This window comes from Homo sapiens, chromosome 2 (genome assembly GCF_000001405.40).
Source record: "Homo sapiens chromosome 2, GRCh38.p14 Primary Assembly".
Classification (NCBI taxonomy): domain Eukaryota; kingdom Metazoa; phylum Chordata; class Mammalia; order Primates; family Hominidae; genus Homo; species Homo sapiens.
This window is the reverse complement of record NC_000002.12, coordinates 172514613-172534894: the sequence shown is the minus strand read 5'-3', so window position 1 is coordinate 172534894 and position 20282 is coordinate 172514613. Positions and strand designations below refer to the sequence as shown.

Below are 20282 nucleotides of genomic sequence, written 5' to 3'. Positions count from 1 at the left end.
GGAGCCATTACAATCCATGAAAGAAAGAAGGGAAATGCCACAGCAAAGTCTTGGTTGACACCCTAACAGGTGGTTGGGAACTGGAGCTGGTCTGGGAACTTCAGGCAACATCAAGGTGTGCCCTTGGCTGGATGCCTTCAGTTGCCCCAGGACCTTATTCTGATCCCTGATGATGGCAAGACCTTTGTGAAGGGAAAAAAAGCCAGGATTCCCTACACCCGAGTGCAACAGAGCAGGGGTGAGTGTGGCAGGTTCCTCCCCAGCATTGCTCTGTAGCTGCACCATTTGCCCTTAATTGGCTAATCAGAGGATTGGTGCTTCATCTGCCTTCAGAAGATAGTCTGAGGATGAGAAACCTTGGGAAAAAGAGAAGCATCATAGGTCCACATTTACTCACCCTTCTGATGATCCTGGATGAGCTTCCAGAAAATGATGCAGGATTTTTCTCAGTCATTTTGCCAGCAGGGACCTCCTGTTGGTGACCCCCCCCCCCCCCCACCCAGGCCTCGTTTGGGCATACTACCTGCTGCAGGAGGTGACCTGCCCCCTCAGCGCACCCAGTCTGTGCCTGACTTGCACATATGGCTGTGTTATAGCTCATACCTGCATTTGGTGGTTCCCGAGTTCTTGTTCTGCATTGAAGAAGAATGAGGATATTCTGACAATTGAAGGGTGAGGAGGGTGTAGAAGAATTGTACTGAGCAACATAATGGCTCTCAGTGCAGAGGGGATGCAGGGGTGGTACCCCACCCCAAATTGGGTGGTTTCTCTCCCAGTGTGGCTGAGTCTGGGGCTTTTATGGGCTCAGAATAGGGGAGTGCATGCTGATTGTTTTGTGAGTATGCAAAAAGTTCAAAACAAAGGCATCACTCAAAGGTGTGCATGGCTGTGTAAAAAACCAATTGGGGAAGGGTAAGTATATGTAAAATAGTTGAAGGTTGGTGATCAGAGGCCAGTGCACCAAGTGGGAAGACAGGTTCTCAATCCAGTCTGTGGGTTTGACTTGTGGCTTGGCTTTCAGGCTTTAAACTGTCTTTGTCATGATGGTGGGGTTTCCCCGCAACCCACCCCATCTCCCTAGGCATTTATCTGACTCCTGTGCTATCAGTGTCACTGGAAATTCTTCAGTTATGTTGGACCTAAAGCACCAGAATGTGTACTGCCCTCACTTTGCTTCCTTTCCTTATTTCAGCTCTGCTTTCCTTGGTGTCTGCTTTCCTCATAATGACGGATGGACAGAGTAGCACCAGGCTTCAGTAGTCCTAGCTGAGCAAAACCTTGGTAGTGAGCACTTCTTTCCAAGTCAGTTTTGAAAAGCGCCAGGATAGTCTCTCTTTGGCTGGGGTTGGACCATGTTTCCACTCCTGGAAACTGGGAATAAGTAGAGAGGCAGCTCACACACACACACACACACACACACACAAACACACACACACACACTGCATCACAGGCTGCTAGGCAAATAAAAACCATACCCATTCATCACCAATTTTGATATTCTGCACACTGGAAATACTTTCTTTTATTGTACTTACACATTTCTACTAACTGAAGATTTTTAAATTTTTCTGGAATTTGTTGGTGGGATTTAATAACCACATTTCAATTCACGAAATGTGACATTCTTTAAAACTTGAAGAATAATGATTCTTTACACTTTACTTTTATTCCTCTCATTTCCTGATTGCTTCTTTTGATGGGAGTTCCCAGACTCCAGGAACAAAAGACAGATTAACAAGAGTAAAACACACGGAAGTTTATTAACACATACATCTCCTATATACATGGGAGATAATCCAGAGAAATGGGTAAATCTCTAAGAGGTGACTTTCACTTCAGGCTTAAATACTATGGTTTTCTGAATTAAATCAATGGTGTGGAGGAGACTCAATTATGACATAATGGCCAGGAAAATCCTGGTAAACAAGAGCAAGGTTTGTTGTGTAGACTTATGCCAATGCCTTCTTCATTGATTAGTTTCAAGTGATTTTAGAATGCAGAGAGGAAGCTGTCCTTACAAATGGCGATTTCCTTTACAGATGTATAAATTCTCTTACAAAAGGGTAACATCTCTGTTTTCAGAGCTTCCCTTGTTTCTGCTGTTTTGCAAAATAATCAGCTCAAAATAATCTTTATGCTAACAAGGTAAATTTAGAGTGCTGTATTCTCCTACAGTCAGTTTTTAAGGTGGTATGTCCTGAACCCTGTCTCTTTTATTATTTATTTATTTATTTATTTATTTATTTATTTATTTATTTATTTATTTTTTGAAATGGAGTCCTGCTCTGTTGCCCAGGCTGGAGTGCAGTGGTGCGATCTCGACTTACTGCAACCTCTGCCTCCCAGGTTCAAGTGATTCTGCTGCCTCAGCATCCTGACTAGCTGGGACTACAGGCATGCACCACCACACCCTGCTAATTTTTGCACTTTTAGTAGAGAGGGGGTTTTACCATATTGGCTAGGCTGGTCTTGAACTCCTGACCTCATGATCTGCCTGCCTCCCAATGTGCTGGGATTACAGGCATGAGCCACTCGGCCTGACCCCATTTATTATTTTTTAGTTAAGTAATGTACACGCATATTTTCACCCTTCTTAGAGATTTAGAAAAAAGAAGAAACAGAATTCACTGCGATATGAACTTATTGGACATATCTTGAATAATCAAGTTGATCTTAAAAGCAGTAAAAGTACTTTGAATTCAGAATTAGCTGGAAGAAGGCAACATTACCTTTTGTCTACATATTTTCTCTTTCAATTTCCCAGATCTTATAACATTTTCTTTGGGTGGATGGCCATATTGGTCAGAGTTTGATGCATAAAATAGAAACCACTGTAGATATTATTGGCATGAAGAGATTTAATTAAGGAGATTGATTAAATGTAAACAAAATAGACTAAAATGGTCTCTAGGCTGTACCACTGAGAATCATTTCTAAAATAATAACCCAGCTAGGGAGTTCTGAGGCAGTCACTGGAAATTGCCAGCTGAAAATGATTAAGTTAAAACTGCATTTGCAAAAATGAGAGTGGGCAGTGGCTCACGCCTGTTATCCCAGCACTTTGGGAGGCTGAGGTGGGCAGATCACTTGAAGTCAGGAGTTCAGCACCAGCCTTCTCAACATGGTGAAACCTTATCTCTAAAAAAATACAAAAATTAGCCAGGCTTGGTGGTGCATGCTTGTAATCCCAGCTACTTGGGAGGCTGAGGCAGGAGAATCACTTGAACCCAGGAGACGGAGGTTGCAGTGAGCTGAGATCACACCACTGCATTCCAGCCTAGGTGATAGAGTAAGACTCTGTCTCAAATTAAAAAAATTATGAGAGTGAAAGGGATCTAACATAACCAATTCCATTTTACCTTTAACCTCCAAGCCACCCTTGTTCATTCCTGGGCGTAGGCTGAGATAACTACAGGAGGAATTTAGTTTATAGTTTAACTTTGAAACAAAGATGATAATAGAGCTTTCCCTACAGAAATCTCCTTCTTGCCTGGGAACCAGACCATCTTTGTAAGACTAACAAATTAGCCACAAGGTTAGGTTTAGGAGTTATGTAGCTAGAGGCCACAAGATTCCTGACTTCCACAGTTGCTCCTAGAAATAACATCAGTGTTTGTAAAAGTGTTCAAGATATTTTTGAAACCCTGTATTCTGATGCACCAGCTGGCACCAACCAGATCAGTAATCTGGTTCACCCAGTTCTATGATCCCACCCAGGAACAGGATGGCAAGAACCCACCTGGAACCTCCTATGATTTTATCTCTAACCCATCTAATCAGCCCTCCCACTCCTTAACTCCCTATCCACCAAATTATCTTTAAACACTCCATCTCTGAATTTTGGGGGAGACTGATTTGAGTAATAAAACAATTCTCCCCTTTAGCCAGCTCTGTGTGCATTAAACTCTTTCCTTATTCGATTCCCTTGTCTTGATAAATTGTCTTTATGTGGGCAGTGGGCAAGGAGAATCCAGTGTTCAGTTACAAATCTGGGAGATCGTCTGGGATACCTCTTGTGGACATCTGTTTATGGTTTGGCAGTTCCTCACCAGTTTCAGGTCCACAGGCCAATCCAAGTGGCTGCTTAGTTCTCTTGGACTAAGGGCTGCCTCTGGTGCTGTCTCTGCCGGCAGGCTGCTGCCAACCCAGAGTGCAAGGATCTAATTGCAATGGAGACATAGTTCCTCAAAGACATCTTATAACCTGGTTTGGTGAGTATTCCAGGTGCTGCCAAAACCTTCTTTGTTCTCCTGATCTTCTGACCTCTCTAGATTTACCTGTGTCCCCATCACAGGGACTAGCCAGCTCTTCCTGGAATTGTAAGAAGAGTCTCAGTCTGTGGCAATCTCTCCCCAGCTGGATGAAGAATAAGGAACATGTTTAAAGAAATGCTCTTCTGGTTTGAAATCTGGTCTGGAATTGTGGTTTGGAAAGCCTTCTCTTTGTCATTACTTTGTTGTATATTTACATATATGGAGGGGATCCCTGAAGGAATTGCTGAGAGAAGTCCAGCAGGCCTAACTCAGGGTGACCGTTGCTCTTGCATCTCGCCCAGAGGTTTTTATCCTTCAAAAACCCAGGTTTACACTCAACTACATGTAAACTGAACAACCTGCTCCTGAATGACTACTGGGTACATAACGAAATGGAGGCAGAAATGAAGATGTTCTTTGAAACCAGTGAGTACAAAGACACATACCACAATCTCTGGGACATACCACAATCTCTGGGACACATTTAAAGCAGTGTGTAGAGGGAAATTTATAGCACTAAATGCCCACAAGAGAAGAGAGTAAAGATATTAAATTGACACCCTAACATCATAATTAAAAGAACTAGAGAAGCAAGAGCAAACACATTCAAAAGCTAGCAGAAGGCAAGAAATAACTAAGATCAGAGTAGAACTGAAGGAGATAGAGACACAAAAAACCCTTCAAAAAATCAATAAATCCAGGAGCTGGTTTTTTGAAAAGATCAACAAAATTGATAGACCTCTAGCAAGACGATTAAAGAAGAAAAGAGAGAAGAATCAAATAGATGCAATAAAAAATGATAAAGGGGATATCACCACCGATCCCACAGAAATACAAACTACCATCAGAGAATACCGTAAACACCTCTACGCAAATAAACTAGAAGATCTAGAAGAAATGGATAAATTCCTGGACACATACACCCTCCCAAGACTAAACCAGGAAGAAGTTGAATCCCTGAATAGACCAATAACAGGCTCTGAAATTGAGGCAATAATTAATAGCCTACCAACCAAAAAAAGTCCAGGACCAGATGGATTCACAGTCGAATTCTACCAGTGGTTTGAGGAAGAGCTGGTACCATTCCTTCTGAAACTATTCCAATCAATAGAAAAAGAGGGAGTCCTCCCTGATTCATTTTATGAGGCCAGCATCATCCTGATACCAAAGCCTGGCAGAGACACAACAAAAAAAGAATTTTAGACCAATATCCCTGATGAACATTGATGCAAAAATACCCAATAAGATACTGGCAAACTGAATCCAGCAGCATATCAAAGAGCTTATCCACCATGATCAAGTGGGCTTCATCCCTGGGATGCAAGGCTGGTTCAATATACGCAAATCAATAAGCGTAATCCAGCATATAAACATAACCAAAGACAAAAACCACATGATCATCTCAATAGATGCAGAAAAGGCCTTTGAGAAAATTCAACAGCCCTTCATGCTAAAAACTCTCAATAAACTAGGTATTGATGGGACATATTTCAAAATATTAAGAGCTATTTATGACAAACCCACAGCCAATATCATACTGAATGGACAAAAACTGGAAGCATTCCCTTTGAAAACTGGCACAAGACAGGGATGCCCTCTCTCACCACTCCTATTCAACATAGTGTTGGAAGTTCTGGCCAGGGCAGTCAGGCAGGAGAAAGAAATAAAGGGTATTCAATTAGGAAAAGAGGAAGTCAAGTTGTCCCTGTTTGCAGATGACATGATTGTACATTTAGAAAACCCCATTGTCTCAGCCCAAAATAACCTTAAGCTGATAAACAACTTCAGCAAAGTCTCAGGATACAAAATCAATGTGCAAAAATCACAAGCATTCTTATACACCAATAACAGACAAGCAGAGAGCAAAATCAGGAGTGAACTTCCATTCACAATTGCTTCAAAGAGAATAAAATACCTAGGAATCCAACTTACAAGGGATGTGAAGGACCTCTTCAAGGAGAACTACAAACCACTGCTCAACGAAATAAAAGTGGACACAAAGAAATGGAAGAACATTCCATGCTCATGGATAGGAAGAATCAAGATCGTGAAAATGGCCATACTGCCCAAGGTAATTTATAGATTCAATGCCATCATCCCCATCAAGCTACCAATGACTTTCTTCACAGAATTGGAAAAAACTACTTTAAAGTTCATATGGAACCAAAAAAAAGCCCGCATTGCCAAGACAATCCTAAGCCAAAAGAACAAAGCTGGAGGCATCACGCTACCTGACTTCAAACTATACTACAAGGCTGCAGTAACCAAAACAGCATGGTACTGGTACCAAAACAGAGATATAGACCAATGGAACAGAACAGAGCCCTCAGAAATAATAACACACATCTACAACCATCTGATCTTTGACAAACCTGACAAAAACAACAATGGGAAAGGATTCCCTATTTAATAAATGGTGCTGGGAAAACTGGCTAGCCATATGTAGAAAGCTGAAACTGGATCCCTTCCTTACACCTTATACAAAAATTAATTCAAGGTGGATTAAAGACTTAAATGTTAGATCTAAAACCATAAAAAACCCTAGAAGAAAACCTAGGCAATACCATTGAGGACATAGGCATGGGCAAGGACTTCATGTCTAAAACACCAAAAGCAATGGCAACAAAAGCTAAAATAGACATATGGGATCTAATTAAACTAAAGAGTTTCTGCACAGCAAAAGAAACTACCATCAGAGTGAACAGTCAACCTACAGAATGGGAGAAAATTTTTGCAATCTACTCATCTGACAAAGGGCTAATATCCAGAATCTACAAAGAACTCAAACAAATTTACAAGAAAACAAACAACCCCATCAAAAAGTGGGCGAAGGATGTGAAAAGACACTTCTCAAAAGAAGACATTTATGCAGCCTAAAGACACATGAAAAAATGCTCATCATCACTGGCCATCAGAGAAATGCAAATCAAAACCACAGTGAGATACCATCTCACACCAGTTAGAATGGCGATCATTAAAAAGTCAGGAAACAACAGGTGCTGGAGAGGATGTGGAGAAATAAGAACAGTTTTACACTGTTGGTGGGACTAGAAACTAGTTCAACCATTGTGGAAGACAGTGTGGCGATTCCTCAAGGATCTAGAACTAGAAATACCATTTGACCCAGCCATCCCGTTACTGGGCATATACCCAAAGGATTATAAATCATGCTGCTATAAAGACACAGGCACATGTATGTTTATTGTGGCACTATTCACAATAGCAAAGACTTGGAACTAACCCAAATTTCTATCAATGATAGACTAGATTAACAAAATGTGGCACATATACACCATGGAATACTATGCGACCATAAAAAAGGATGAGTTCATGTCCTTTGTAGGGACATGGATGAAGCTGGAAACCATCATTCTCAGCAAACTATCACAAGGACAAAAAACCAAAGACCACATATTCTCACTAATAGGTGGGAATTGAACAATGAGAACACTTGGACACAGGAAGGGGAACATCACACACCAGGGCCTGTCGTGAGGTGGGGGGAGTGGGGAGGGAAAGCATTAGGAGATATACCTAATGTAAATGACGAGTTAGTAGGTGCAGCACACCAACATGGTGCATGTCTACATATGTAACAAACCTGCACATTTTGTACATGTACCCTAGAACTTAAAAGTATAAAAAAAAACAAACCCAGGTTTAGGATTTATGTAGCTAGAGGACACACACACACACACACACACACACACACACACATGCACGCAAAAGAGAGTGAAAAGGATCTAACATAACCAACTCCATTTTACCTTTAACCTCCAAGCCACCCTTGTTCATTCCTGGGCATAGGCTGAGATAACTATAGGAGGAATTTATAGTTTAGCTTTGAAACAAAGATGATATAGTGTTTTCCCTAAATCTCCTTCTTACCTGGGAATCAGACCGGCTTTGTAATACTAACAAATTGAATTCTTGGTCAGAGGTCATCCCTCCCCACCTTGAGTGGATCAAAGATGATAGGGGCCAATGGGGTCAAATTTTAGTCTTGCCAGGTCAATATTTGGGCCCTGGCAAAGAAACTAACGTCTGTGTACTGTTCTGTGTGTATTCTCTGCCTTTCTGGGAATCTAAAATTTATTTTTGGAGAGTTTCTTTCAACCTGTCCTGTCCGTAGATAGGTGTGGGTGGTGGGGTGGTAGCTGCTTTGCTTTGACTGTGGCCCCCACCTTGGTTGCGCCCGCCCTCTTATGGCTACTGTTGGACAGTGAAGAGGTTTCCATAGTGAGATCAAGAGTGGGAACGCATGTTCCAGAATCCACTTTGGGAGGGTGGTTATAAGGTGCTATGTGGCAGTTGGGGGAATACCTCAATCCCTCTTGTATGCCTGCAGCTGCTGTTAATATGCTGTTTTATAGTGGGGGAACCAGCCCCCAATATTTCAACGTAGGTCCTTTCTGTTTTCCCTAAGTATCGGCCGGTCTGAGAAATAAAGAGAAAGAGTACAAAGAGAGAAATTTTACAGCTAGGCCTCCGGGGGTGACATCACATATTGGCAGGTTCCGTGATGCCCTGTGAGCCGCAAAACCAGCATGTTTTTATTAGGAATTTCAAAAGGGGAGAGGGGTACGAGCAGGGAGTAAGTCACAAAGATCACATGCTTCAAAGGGCAATAAAAGATCACAAGGGCAGAGAGGCAGAGCAAGATCACAAGGCCAGGGCGAAATTAGAATTACTGATAAGGTTCCATGTCCCACTGGGCATGCATTGTCATTGGTAAACATCTTAACAGGAAACAGGGTTTGAGAGCTGACAACCTGTCTGACTAGAATTCACCAGGCTGGAATTTCCTAATCCTAGCAAGCCTGAGGGCACTGCGGGAGACCAGGGCGTATTTCATCCCTTGTCTTCAACTGCATAAGGCAGACACTCCCAGAGTGGCAGTCCGTAGACCTCCCCTGGGAATGCAGTCCTTTCCCTGGGTTATTCCTTGCTGGGAAAAGAATTCAGTGATATTTCTCCTATTTGCTTTCTGTAAAAAGAAAAATATGACTCTGTTCTGCCCAGCCCCACAGGCAGTCAGACCTTATGGTTATCTCCCTTGTTCCCTGAAAATCGCTGTTATCCTGTTCCTTTTCAGAGTGCCCAGATTTCATATTGTTCAAATACACATGTTTTACAAACAATTTGTACAGATAACGCAATCATCACAGGGTCCTGAGGCAACATACATCCTCAGTTTACAAAAATGATGGGATTAAGAGATTAAAGTAAAAACAGGCATAGGAAATTACAAGAGTATTGATTGAGGAAGTGATAAATGTCCATGAAATCTTCACAATTTATGTTCAGAGATTGCAGTAAAGACAGGCGTAAGAAATTATAAAAGTATTAATTTGGGGAACTAATAAATGTCCTTGAAATCTTGACAATTTATGTTCTTCTGCTGTGGCTTCAGCCGGTCCCTCCATTTGGGGTCCCAGACTTCCTGCAACAGGGAAATACCTCAATCCGTCTTGTATGCCTGCACCTGCTCTTAATGTGCTGTTTTCTTTGACCCATGGGAAAGCCATCAAGTTCACCCTCCGGCATATTGGGCTTCCTGTCAGGCCAAGAAAATGGAAAACTTGTTTTGGGCTTGATCTGATGGATGGGGTGTCCCTGCAAACCACTGGAGGCTCTTATTTGAAGATTGGAGACAAAGTTGTGATAAAAACACAGAAGTGTGGGGACCCAAATGTCTGCTATACTGGTGGAGAGCCCATTGGCATGTATCCTCGAGAAGTGGAAATTTTGGGGATATTACCCACTGACCCATAAGCAGTTTGTTTTCTCTGTAACACAACTTGGCCATAGTTTCCTGTGGGATTAAGAATGCATGATGGCCTTGTCAGGGTTCTGTTTGTCACCACAGAATCTTGGAGTTAGATTTGTATTGTAAAGGGAAAGAGAAATGGGATGGGACCTCCTATGTACAGTGTTTCATGGCACTTAGGCAAAATAAACCAATGCAGTAAAGGTGTAAGGTTGTGGCCCAACTAACTGGCAGTAGAAAAAATCCTGTTTTTTTGAGTCACATGAAAAAGATGATGACATTTTGATTGCTAGGTTAAATGAGCCCTCAGTTCCTCCTCCTACCTATGGCGGCTGGGGCTGCTCTATGAGCACCTGAGCTGGGGTCCCCATCTTCCCTGATCTCCCCATCTTCTGTGATCTCCCCACCTTTGCAGGAATAGAAGCCAGGAGCAATAGGAATGGTCTACCCCCACACCTCTGACAGGAAACCAAATTTGGCCAGAGTGCCCCTCTAGCTCAGGGAAGGCAATTCCCTCTTCAGCAGATTCCTATAGGGGAGCATTGATGCTGTCACAGGTCAGCCAATGGGGCTTATCTGGGTCTACTCTCCATTTCCACCTTCAATTAGTTTAGTTGGAAAAATAACGTACCCACGTACTTGGAGAATCTGAGGAGGATGGAAGATTTTTTCTTGATATTTGCAACCCAGTCACGCCTTGGGCAGATGTACAAAATTTCCTTTGCATTTTATTGACCTCAGAGGAGCAGAGAATGGTCCTAGGGAAGGCCAGAGAAGAGGTTGGTCTCATGCACGAGGTCCCAGGTAACCTGGTAAGAATGGCTGCACAGGTGGCTGTACCCACCTTAGACCGGGAGTGGAACATAAATGGAGAAGGCTTTATCAAGGTTTAGTCTTACCAAGACTGCAGCTGTATTCTGGCTGGCCTCTGCAAAGTAGTGCTGAAACAGAAAGGTTTTTTGTTTTGTTTTGTTTTGTTTTTTTGAGACAGTCTTGCTCTGTTGCCCAGGGTGGAGTACAATGGCACAATCTTAGCTTACTACAACCTCCGCCTCCTGGGTTTAGGTGATTCTCCTGCCTCAGCCTCCTGAGTAAGTGGGATTACAGGCATGTACCACCTCGCCTGGCTAATTTTTTGTATTTTTAGTAGAGACAGGGTTTCACCATGTTGGCCAGGCTGGTCTTGAACTCCTGACCTCAGGTGATCCACCTGCCTCAGCATCCCAAAGTGCTGGGATTACAGGTGTAAGCCACTGCGTCCAGCCTAGAAAGGTCTTAATAAGTTTCAGGAAGTTAGGCAGAAACCTAATGAGAGCCCCTCAGAATTCTTGGAATGGGTGTTTAAAGTGGGTAGGTGGTATACAGACATGATCTAGAAGTACCGACAGATGGTAAATATGACCTTTATCAGCCAAAGTGCCCCCGGCATTTGGAGAAAGTTGGAGAAGATGGGTGGGACTCTGCGTATGTCCCTGTCCCAGTTAATGGAGATTGCCTTTAGAGCGTTTGCCAGTGCAGATAATTTTTTAAAAGGAACAATGAAAGGTGAAACATCAGGCTAACCTTCTGGCTGTGGCTCTGACTCGAGAGGCCCCAGGACCACAGTGTGAATCTCCTTCAGATGCTCCATCCCAGGTAGGACCCCTACTAAGCCCCAGACCAACAAAGGGTGACACCCCACTGTAGGTCCCAAGCAGTGCACTTATTGCAAGCTAATAGGCTGCTGGAGGAAAGACTATCCACATTGTAAAAAGAACAGTGTTAAGGAAAACCCACTCCCTGTTCACCAGATGCCTGAAATAGCCAAGAGGTCTGAGGTTAAAGATACCTAGGATAAGGACCAGGAATTATGGGGCCCTGGGGTTCCTCCTGACCCAAGCAACACCCTCCATATTCCCACATAGAGTCCCAGGTCATGATGACAGTGGGAAGTCAACTTTTGGACTTTTTGGTGGACACTGAGGCTAGTTACTTGGTGATAAATACCTGGCTGTCTAAACTGTTCAGAAACTGTTAAAGTGACCAGGGTCTTGGGAGAAACCTTAACGAGACCATCCTTCAACCCTTAGAATATCAGCTGGGCCAACCCACCTGAAGCACAGCTTCTTATATATGCCTGAATGCCCCATTCCTCTGCTGTGACATGACCTCATAACTAAAGTAAATGCCAAAGTTACTTTCAGCCCAGTATGAGTAAATATTTTAGTACCCTCCAGAACAAGCCTATGCCCTGCAGGTTGCTGTGGAAGCATGGGCAGATAGGAGACCAGGAAGGGCCAGAACAGCCATCCAGTACAAGTGAAGGTACAGGTAAGAACAACGTAGCCATGCTTGAAACAATACCTGTTAAGCCAACAAGCGAGAAGGGACATCAAACCTCTGCTGTGTGCTTTCCTTCAGTTTGGACTCATTAGGCCTTGCTAGTCCTCATGTAACATGCCTATTCTGCTGGTTCAGAAGCCTGGGACTAAGAAACATAGATTTGTTCAGGACTTGAGGGCTATCAATCAATGGTAAAAGATATCTACTCGGTGGCCCCCAATCCCTATACTTTACTCACATCCCCAAATGGTGAACTCAGTTGGTTCACAGTCTTAGATTTAAAAGATGCCTTATTTTACATCCCCCTGAGCCCTGAGTCACAAGAACTGTTTGCTTTTAAATGGGAAGACCTAGATACTAAAGCACAGTAAAAGTATTGTTGGACAGTTCTCCCTCAGGGGTTTAAAAACTCCCCTGCCATCTTTGGGGAAATTCTTGCTAAAGACCTCCCAGACTTGCAATTAAAGAGTGGGACTCTATTGCAGCATGCTGATGACATCTTAATTGCCAGTACCACACAGGAGTTGTCTGACCAAAACACTATATTGAATCTAAGTTTTCTGGCTGAACTAGGGTACAAGGTATCCAAGAAAAAGGCTCTGATTTGTCGGCCTGCAGTAGTATCTTGGGTTCGAGCTCTCCCAAGGGCAGAAGAACCTGGTCCCTGACCAGCAGGACACCTTCACCAGGGCAGACAGACCAACCACCTGGCAACAGTTGTGAGATTTCTTAGTTATGGCCAAATTTTCCTGGATATGGATTTCTAATTTTGGACTTATTGCAAAGCCTCTATACAATGCTTTGTGGGGAGGAGATAATGAACCCCTAGAATGGACTGGAGACTGATAGAGGACCTTCCTTGATATCAAAGGAAAACTGCTGACTGCCCCAGCACTTTGATCTCTTTGTGCTTGAGAGACAAGAATAAGCCTAGGAGTGTTAACTCAGGACCTAGGAAATATTAAAAGACCCATTGCTTGTTTCTCAAAGCAATTGGACATTGTTACAAAAGGATGATCTCCTTGCATTTGGGCTGTTGCTGCCACTTGTGACTTTCTCCAGGAAGCAGAAAAGTTTACATCAGGCCAGCCAACCACAGTACACCCAACCCACTGTGTGCTCCCCTTGCTGGAACAGAAGGGAGGATACTGGCTGACCTCTGGGAGACTCTGCAGGTATCAGGTCATCCTTTCAGACAACTCAAATGTAATGCTGAAGGCCATCTCTACTCTAAATCCTGCCCCCTCCTTCATCAAATGCCATCTGAACTTGCGCACAATTATCTACAAACAGTTGAATTAGTTCATTCCTGCTGGCCAGACCTGACAGACGTAACCATAGACAGCCCAGACCTAGAGATGTTCACTGACAGGAACAGCTTTATGGGCCAGGGACAATAGAAAGCCAGGTGTGTGGTGGTAACCCACTGACAGACTATAGAAGCCAGAGCATTGCCCTCCAGAACATTAGCACTGAAAACGGTGCTCAGAGCCCTCATTGGAACCCTCCATCTAGGTAACAGAGCACAAGTGGCCATGTACGCAGACTCTAGATAGGCTTTCTCTGTTTTTCATGCTCAAGGGGCCATCTGGAAAAAAATGGGACTACTAACCTCTGATAATTAAAAACAAACAAAACATGCTAGAGAAACTCTAGTCCTATTAAATGCCATTTTAGCCCACAGGAAGTAACTATAATACATTGCCTTGGGCAACGGCAGACAGATAGTTTGGTGGCAAAGGACAATATTGCATAGATGAGGCCACGAAGAAAATAGTAAGGATAAAGTCCCCAAAATGCTATTGATACCTTTGCTACCTAAAACAGATTGTGGCCCTGAGCCTCCCATATACTCAGATGAGTACCTAAAAAGAGCACTCAATTGGGGTTTTGACCCCAATCAGAGGACTCATGATGGATGGATATACAATGAGAGAGAAACAATTCTGGCACCGGCATATTTTAGGAATGACATTGTTGAATGTATTCATGACTCCACCCAGTGTGGTAGGGATGCCACTCTCCAATGGATACAAAAATATGTTTCTGGTTCACATATAAACAGGACCATTCAGAAGGTTATAGAAAAATGTCTCTTCTGTACCCAGAACAACCCAAAAACTAGCCCTCCCCACTTAACACAGGAATTCAGACCGGGGGTGAAGGAACAACAGAGAACTGGCAAATTGATTTTATTATGATGTCAAGGATAGCAGGTAACTTGAAATACCTACTCTTGTTTGTGGATACCTTGGGTTGAGGCTTTTCTTTGTTGGACAAAAAGAGCTTCTGAAGCATTAAGGCCTTAATAAAAGAAATAATTCCTTGGTTTGGAACAGTGGTTTTCATCTAGAGTGACAGTGATGCAGACTTCATGGCCCACGTCTCACAGGGTATTTCTTAAGCCCTCAGTATAACTTAGAACCTACATGTAACCTGGAGGTCGCAGTCCATAGAGTCCATAAGATTCCCGACTTCCCCAGTTGCTCCTAGAGATAACATCACTGTTGTAAAACCTAATACTGGTGTTTGAGATATTTTTGAGACCCCGCATTCTGGTGCACCAGCTGTTGTCACGCAGACCAGTAATCTGGTTCAAGCAGTTCTGTGATCCCATCCAGGAACAGAAGACAGCAAGAAGAACCTGCTTCAACCGACTATGATTTCATCTCTGACCCAACCAATTAGCACTCTCCACTCTCTAATCCCCTTCCCACCAAATTATCCTTTAAAAACTCCAGAAGTCTTCAAATTTTTGGAGAGACTAATCTGAATAATGACTCTGATCTCCCCTTTAGTTGACAGGGCATGTGCAGGGGTCTGTCCTTCAGACACTGATCCACCAACGGATGAATAAAGTACACTGACACACAGATATGCTGCTTTGCCAGTCCAGCTGAGCATACTGGCCACTTACAAACTCCAAGCAGAGTGCTGTAAACAGATGCAACTGCGGCCTCTATCAGTCAGAGAGACTTGCATTTATTCAGTAAAGATTAATTGACAAAGGTCGTGAGTAAACACCACTAGAGGGTAATTGACATTGTGGACCTCCTGAGTAGAAAGCAATTAAGCACCCAGGGTAAATCAAAGATTAGTCTTAGGACCACATGAGTAAACAAGCTAGTTAGATAACTCTCCATATTGCTTTGTTTCTACTCTAATTTAAGGGGACAAGGCTGCCTTCAGCCAAGTTTATTACTGGAGCTTACCCAAACCCCTCAGGCCTTCCAAGGTTTGTGTCTTATAATTTTCCCCACCATCCTGACTGAACCCCCACATCTCCTCTTTTTTTGTTTTCTGCATCAGGTCTTTTTGATTGGAGAGTGTACATGTATGCAGCAACAGGTTTGTCAGGTGTGGTGGTCATTGCTCTTATTCTGGCTTTGCATCCTAGAATTAGCAAATAGCATAATACAATCATGAGTACAATTAGCAACATTCTTTCCAGTCAAAGAGTGACCCCCAGGAGTGGGGTTCTAACCAGGAGAGATGATCTTGCACACCCTTCTATATGGGTGTTTGTTGGGTGTGTAGATCTATGGTGTGAAGGGATTCTAAAATTTTAGTTTTAAGTTGCTTTATGTCTGCTGTTAAATTGTCATGAAAGGTTCCCCAGAGGTGTTGTTTTACCTCATCCCAACTATGTATTGATTGATTCCAAGGTAGAGAAGTGACACAGATATGTTTATGCCCCAGTCACAGTTTAATTGCTTTTGGAATGCCAGTGCATCTTGTCACTCCCCCACATACTCTAAGGCAGCCTCAAGGGCTCACAGTCATGCAAGAATCTTTTGATCCATATGTTGCTGTAAGAGAAGATCATTAGACACATTTTGGCCAGATTATCTACAAAGCTAGCTGTTTATATTGACTCAGTAATAGATGCAACAGCAATGCTAGCAGTTGCCAGGATGACTAGGCTGAGATTATAAAGGCCATAAGTGTAACTGTGAATCTTTTGTGTCTGACCTGGGACAGAGCACATTCTAAGGTGGCAAGGGCAGAGGAACCTTGCCAATCCTGTCAAATTGACTGGTAGAAATGTCTCAGATTGTCTCCTTAATACCATGACACTAGTGATTTTTAAATTAGATATATTGTGGTGAGTGATATATGAGGCAAACCAAGCCTATCCCTGCACCTGGGTCACAAACGTGGAGTTTTGGGGTATAATGGAAATGTTAGTTCCCATAAGGAAAATATATGGATGGGTAGTGCAAATCAGGCACTGATTCGTGTGATTATGAATAAAGGTTATAGTATAGTTGCAATGGGAATTATGATATGTCCCATGTTAGGTGTTAAGGGAGGTGCTGAGATGTCCCAGGCACCATAAGGTGCCTTGGGTTGGCATGGACTTTACTTGGGGTCTGGGATATCCTATCCCCACATTGGCCCAAAATATAGGGAAACAAAACATGGCTATGAAACTGTGATTGATGCTGTGATGGACGAAGACATTAGTAAGGCTGCCCTGCAATCGGCCATGGGGACTTCAGTCTAAGATGTTATAGTTGCCTAACTGGAGTCTATGGGCTTGTTTCCCATGACAGACATCCCAGCTAAAGTGGAATCCATTACTTTTCTGGCTTTGTTCTTTAGCACAGGAAGGAATGTTTGGGAAAGCAGCATTGATTGCAATGCCTGGTTTGAGGCTACCTGCAGCTAAGAATGTTAAGGCATTTCCTTTGCCATGATGTAGCCATACTTGTTTTTGGGCAGGTACACATTAAGGGTTAGAACCTTTATAACTTATACACAGTGGGAGGATAGTGGAGTGTTATGTAGTGTTATTTGGCACTTTAGTCCAATGTGTGTGATTATTGAGGGACTCCACTGGGGGTAAATCTATCCCTCCTAGCCAAGCAGTCACGTTATTAAAGGCTGGGAAGGGAGTGTCTGCCAAGGTAACTGGGCAAAAGAAAGGTGGGTCTAAGATAATGAGCCCAAAAGAGTGTAGCAGGTACCAGCTGCGAACAAAGTGAGAGCATAAAAGGGATTAATACCCTACGTGAGTTGCAATGTACAACAGAAAACATAGCAAGAAACAAATTATCTGGAGTAAATGCTGTCTGTGTCTGGAGCAGGATTTGTTCAGCCTCCTGAGTTGTCTTCTTCAGCATCCCCCAGGTAACATCTGGGGCTTGTGTCATCCACGGAAGCCGCATCTTCTGGGTCTGTGGATCTTGTAGGGTTAACTCCTTCATTTCTGGTACTGGGTTGGGTCCTAGCCATGCCATGGTATGGTTTGATGCGTCACGCTGGAATCCAAAGAGGACCTGAGGGGGTGTGAACACAAGCATACCCTCTTCCCCATGTTAATAATTTATTTGGACCACACCATACATTACTGTTTACATCTTTCCATCAAACTGCAGGTTTTATGCCTTGAGAGGTTTTAGCAAAGTGCTTTTCTACAGCTGATTGAAATTTGTCATCTAAATTTAAAAAATTAAGGGTAAATAAGGCTTGTGCCTATAGTGTTGCAGGGTCTTTTACCCATACTCCTTCTTTCCTGTTTTTTTTGAGCGTATTTTTTAAGAGTGGGCACGTTCTATTGCTTGTCCTTGGGGGTCATATGGGATCCCTGTGGAATGTTGGATATTCCACATTGTGACAAAATTGTTGAAATTGTGAGCTGGTATAAGCGGGACCATTATCCATTTTAATTTTTGTGGGCCATCCCATAAATGCAAAAGTTAAAAGACGATGTTTAATGACATATCGAGTAGACTCTCCCAGAAGGGCATGTGCACTAATTAAATGGGTGTTGGTATCAATGGATACACGTACATATCTCAGTTTTCCAAATTCAGGGATGTGTGTAACATCTGTTTGCCATAACTGATTAGGTTCTAGTCCTCTAGGGTTAATACCTGTGGAAGGAGGGGATGTGCCTGTGAGCTGGCAGTCTGGGCATTGTAGGATAATTTGTTTAGCCAGCCTTTGTATATGTTGAAATTGTTTAGATAAGTTTCCCTAATTTTGGTGGAAAAATTGATGCAATTGGGTGGCTTGGTCAAGCAGTGATGTCATAACCTGAAGATCTGCTTGTTCATTGCCATAAGCCAATGAGTCAGGCAGAGAGCTGTGGGCTCGAATGTGTGTAATAAAAATAGGTTGTGTATGTTGATCTAGCAATTGCTGAAGTTGGAGAAAAAAAAGCACACAAGGCTGGCTCCAGAGTGGAGTTAATTAAAGCTGTTTCAAGATTTTGTAGCAAATATACTGAGTAAGCCAAGTCACTTACAATACTTGTGGGCTGAGTGGAAAAAGTTTCCAAGGCCAGTATCAGAGCCCCAATTGCAGCTCTCTGATTGCTAGTAAACCCAGATCAAGTGATTGAATTGTGTAGTCTCCACCAGACTGCCGCTTTTCCATGTTTACCAGACCTATCAGTAAACAGTGTTAAAGCATTAGGTATGGGGGAGTGAACTATTTTTGTAGGTAAGATTGCCTGCGTATGAGGTAAGAAATGAAGGAGTTTATCAGCAGGAAGCATGTGCTCTATTTGTCCTGTATAATCAGAGAAAACTATTTGCAGATATATCGATAAGAGCAATACTGATTCGCATTGCTTTTTGCTTAAAGGAATCCTGATGACATCAGGGTCATAACCTAGCAACTGATTGCATCTTTTGTGGCCTGAATAGATGACTTTAGTAATTAACTAAATATACGGAGATAGTGTTTTAGTCCTAGTATGTGAGCAAAAAACCCATTCTAGGAAGCGTAGCCCTGGGGTCATCTGTCCTATTAACCCTGTAGGGGGGTGTTTGGTGGGAAAAATAAACAACTGAATTGAATACCATGGATCAATGCGATCTAGCTGCCTCTGAGAGATGGCATGCTCTATTTCCTCAGTTTCCTTTTTTCCTTCAGGGGTTAAATATCTGGGAGAATCCAGGGCTGGATTACCCTTTAAGATAGAAAACAGATTTTGTAGTTTATCAGTAGGAATCCTCAAAGTGGGGTGGAGCTAGGTAATATCGCCCAATTTCTGATAATCATTTAAGGTGTATACATTGCTAGTATTTAATTTAACCTTTTGAGATCTTGCTGACCAGGAAGTTAGTATGTACCCAAGATATTTCCAAGGAGAGGACATTTGTACTTTCTTACGTGCAATCATTAGACCTCTTAGCTCTGTATTCTTTACGACAGAAGAATATAAATTTAAAAGTATTGGCTCCGTTGGGGCTGCTAGTAGAATATCATCCATAAAATGAATAATCTTGCAATCAGGAAATTCTTTTGTACTAGGGACCAAAGCTTGATTTCCATGATATTGACACATGGTAGGACTGTTTAGCATTCCTTGAGGAAGCACTTTCCAATGGAATCAACAAGCTGGCTTTTCATTATTGATAGCTGGTATTGTAAGCGCAAATTTTTCTCTGTCCTGTTCTGCTAGAGGAATTGTATAAAAAACTTTTAAGTCAATAATGATTATAGGCCAATCTTGAGGAATCACCACGGGGGAGGAGTGGCCCTGTTGAAGGGGTCCCATAGGCTGTAAAGTAGCATTAATAGCATGTTAAGTCATGCAAAAGTCTTCATTTCCCAGACTTTTTGGGAATGACGAAAATGGGCGAACTCCAAGGGCTGTTAGGAGAATATTATCCATAAAATGAATAACCTTGTAATCAGGAAGTTTTTTTGTTTTTGTTTTGTTTTTGTTTTTGTTTTCTACTGGGGAGTAAAGTTTGCTTTAACTGCTCCTTAACTAACTCATGGGCCGTTTGTAATTTCTCTCCCTTTAGAGGTTACAGTTTTACTTAAATTGGATTTGGAGAGAGTTAGGGGTAAGAGAGAGATAACAGTGCCCATTATCAGAAAGAGGTTTTTCAAATTATTAAATTTTACTTAAATCTTAGCATAGAATTATAATTTGGGATGTCTCTTGTCTACAAGGAGCACATGAAATTTTGCCG

General features: G+C 42.6%; 1 long non-coding RNA gene across 23 annotated transcripts in view, besides 1 other annotated feature; it reads left to right on the top strand.

Annotated features, from left to right (window-relative positions):
- The window catches only part of PDK1-AS1 (PDK1 and ITGA6 antisense RNA 1), a 92199-nt gene that overhangs the window by 21570 nt on the left and 50347 nt on the right, over nucleotides 1-20282 (top strand). The gene's annotated exons all lie outside the window — the stretch shown is intronic.
- Nucleotides 1800-2094: a silencer, noted in NCBI's record as "tiled region #994; HepG2 Repressive non-DNase unmatched - State 22:ReprW". NCBI's record gives its function as "represses a minimal TATA promoter and a strong SV40 promoter by Sharpr-MPRA in HepG2 cells {active_cell/tissue: HepG2}" and the evidence as "EXISTENCE:reporter gene assay evidence [ECO:0000049][PMID:27701403]".